This window comes from Homo sapiens, chromosome 6, assembly GCF_000001405.40.
Source record: "Homo sapiens chromosome 6, GRCh38.p14 Primary Assembly".
Classification (NCBI taxonomy): domain Eukaryota; kingdom Metazoa; phylum Chordata; class Mammalia; order Primates; family Hominidae; genus Homo; species Homo sapiens.
The window spans coordinates 39129948-39132984 of record NC_000006.12 but is presented as its reverse complement, the minus strand read 5'-3'; the positions used below and the strand labels follow the sequence as shown (position 1 = coordinate 39132984).

Here is a 3037-nt window from a genome sequence, read left to right as displayed (position 1 = left end):
CCAAACAAGGCAAATGGTTCTTAGACCAAGGAAAATATCTCCTTCCAGCCTCACAGGCCCATTCTATTCTGTTGTCATTTCATAACCTCTTCCATGTAGGTTACAAGCCGCTAGCCTAACTCTTAGAACCTCTCATTTCCTTTCCATCATGGAAATCTATTCTCAAGGAAATCACTTCTCAGTGTTCCATCTGCTATTTTACTACTCCTCGGGGATTGTTCAGGCCCCCTCCCTTCCCTATACATCAAGCTCGGGGATTTGCCCCTGCCCAGGACTGGCAAATTGACTTTACTCACATGCCCTGAGTCAGGAAACTAAAATACCTCTTGGTCTAGGTAGACACTTTCACTGGATGGGTCTCACAGGGTCTGAGAAGGCCACCACAGTCATTTCTTCCCTTCTGTCAGACATAATTCCTCGATTTGGCCTTCCCACCTCTATACATAACAGACTGGCCTTTATTAGTTAAATCACCCAAGCAGTTTCTCAGGCTCTTGGTGTTCAGTGGAATCTTCATACCCCTTACCATCCTCAATCTTCAGGAAAGGTAAAACGGACTAATGGTCTTTTAAAATCATACCTCACTAAGCTCAGCCTCCAACTTAAAAAAAAGGTCTCTGTCAAGAATAGAGCCCGAAAACTTGCCAACCAAGCAAGTAATTATGCTGAACCCCCTTGGGCACTCTCTAATTGGATGTCCTGGGTCCTCCCAATTCTTAGTCCATTAATACCTGTTTTTCTCCTTCTCTTATTTGGACCTTGTGTCTTCCGTTTAGTTTTTCAATTCATACAAAACCACATCCAGGCCATCACCAATCATTCTATATGACAAATGCTCCTTCTAACAACCTTACCACAAAATCTTCCTTCAGCTTAAACTCTCCCACTCTAGGTTCCCATGCCACCCCAATCCCACTTGAAGCAGCCCTGAGAAACATTGCCCATTATCTCTCCATACCACCCCCCATAATTTTCACTGCCCCAACACTTCAATACTATTTTATGTTATTTTTCTTATTAATATAAGAAGGCAGGAATGTCAGGCCTCTGAGCCCAAGCTAAGCCACCGTATCCCCTGTGACCTGCACGTATACATCCAGATGGCCTGAAGCAAGTGAAGAATCACAAAAGAAGTGAAAATGGCTGGTTCCTGCCTTAACTGATGACATTCCACCATTGTGATTTGTTCCTGCCCCACCTCAACTGAGCAATTAACCTTGTGAAATTCCTTCTCCTGGCTCAGAACCTCCCCCACTGAGCACCTTGTGACCCCTGCCCCTGCCCATAAGAGAAAAACCCCCTTTGACTGTAATTTTCCACTACCCACCCAAATCCTATAAAACAGCCCCACCCCTATCTCCCTTCACTGACTCCTTTTTCGGACTCAGCCTGCCTGCACCCAGGTGAAATAAGCAGCTTTGTTGCTCACACAAAGCCTGTTTGGTGGTCTCTTCACACAGACGCACATGACAACACTTGGCTGACATTATTTTTTAGCCATTCAGTACTCTGAGTGGTGTGGGAATATAATGATTTTCTTAATGCACATTATTCTGCATTCATCAATCAGTTTCGAAAGACAAGGATAATACTGTCCAGACTAGAGAAAACATTTTGGAGTCACAGAACAGGCAACAGCCAGTCTCTCCCTGACCCCATTCCCACATTAGCCTCTCTTTTCTAGAAAGATGCTACAAACCAAGGGCCGAGTGAGAAGAATGGTTCATTTCCGAACAATTCAATCTGCTCCGAGAAACAAGGAATTAGCCTGTGGAAGAGTGAGTTATTTTAAACCACTCTGCATTAAAACCAATTAATGCTCTGGAGGGTCCAGCCTGCCAGAGGAGAATTTGAGCTAATTGCTACAGACCAATCATAGTCAGTATAACGCTCCTCCTATCAGCAAATAATAGCACTGGGTAGAGTGGGGTGTGGGGGATGAACTCAATCTCCACAGGAAGACAGACCAAATGTGATGGCTATTTTCTCTTCAAGTGCCTCAGATTTAGAATTCTTCTGATCCCAAAGTGTGCTCACCATACCTCTCATGAGTCAAACTGCCATTTTCCCAGCAGTAATCATGTGCCCAGCCTTCTCCCATTCAGCTCTGTTGAGTTATAAAAGCCAAAGGAATGGAACAACAACAACAGAAAAGCTAAATGATTCAGCCACAATACAGAGTGAATCAGCAAAGGAACAAAAAAATGTAGGGAAAGGGAATCTGTGTGGTGTCTTGAATAAAAGTGCCTTCCAATAAATTTGGTGAATTGTCTTCGAATCAGCTGAATGTGTTAATCATTTATTGTATATCATAACTGTCTGGCGCATACGTGATTAGCTGAAAATAATATTTGTGGGTCCATGGAGGCTCTGAAATGATGCAAAGGAGAAGCTAGTTTTTGCAGAAGGAGCTCAACTTTGTTTGCTAAAGTTTTCCTTGGAGCATCAAAGGCTGTTTCTGTATTGGCTGCTATTGGCATGAGAATGTGAAAGGTGTGGGGGAACTTTCTCTGGAAAGGACCTTTCACAGAGAATCAGGAAAATAGGAAGCAGACCTCAACAAGGAAATGCTCTCTGTCTTTCTTTTTTTTGGTTTGTTTGTTTTTTGAGATGGAGTCTTGCCCTGTCACCCAGGCTGGATGGAGTGCAGTGGCACGATCTTGGTTCAGTGCAACCTCCACCTCCCGTGTTCAAGAGATTCTCCTGCTTCAGCCTTCCAAGTAGCTGGGACTACAGGTGCCCACACCACGTGTGGCTAATTTTTGTATTTTTAGTAGAGACTGGGTTTCTCCATGTTGGCCAGGCTGGTCTTGAACTCCTGACCTCAGGTGAGCCTCCCCCCGCTCGGCCTCCCAAAATGCTAGGATTACAGGCATAAGCCACTGTGTCCAGCCTCCACCTCGATTTCTTGTCCTTTTCCTCTCTTCCATGTGTGTGCATGTGTGCAGATATAGGTTTGAAACCCATTTCTACTCCTCTGAGCTTCAGATTCTTCATCTATAATTGGGACTCATAATGCTAATATCCCCAACTTGTC

The 3037-nt window shown here is 44.3% G+C and overlaps 1 annotated feature.

Annotated features, from left to right (window-relative positions):
* Nucleotides 895–1493: an enhancer, noted in NCBI's record as "NANOG hESC enhancer chr6:39099268-39099866 (GRCh37/hg19 assembly coordinates)". NCBI's record gives its function as "activates a minimal SCP1, AML or CMV promoter by ChIP-STARR-seq in naive H9 embryonic stem cells {active_cell/tissue: H9 hESC(naive)}" and the evidence as "EXISTENCE:reporter gene assay evidence [ECO:0000049][PMID:30033119]".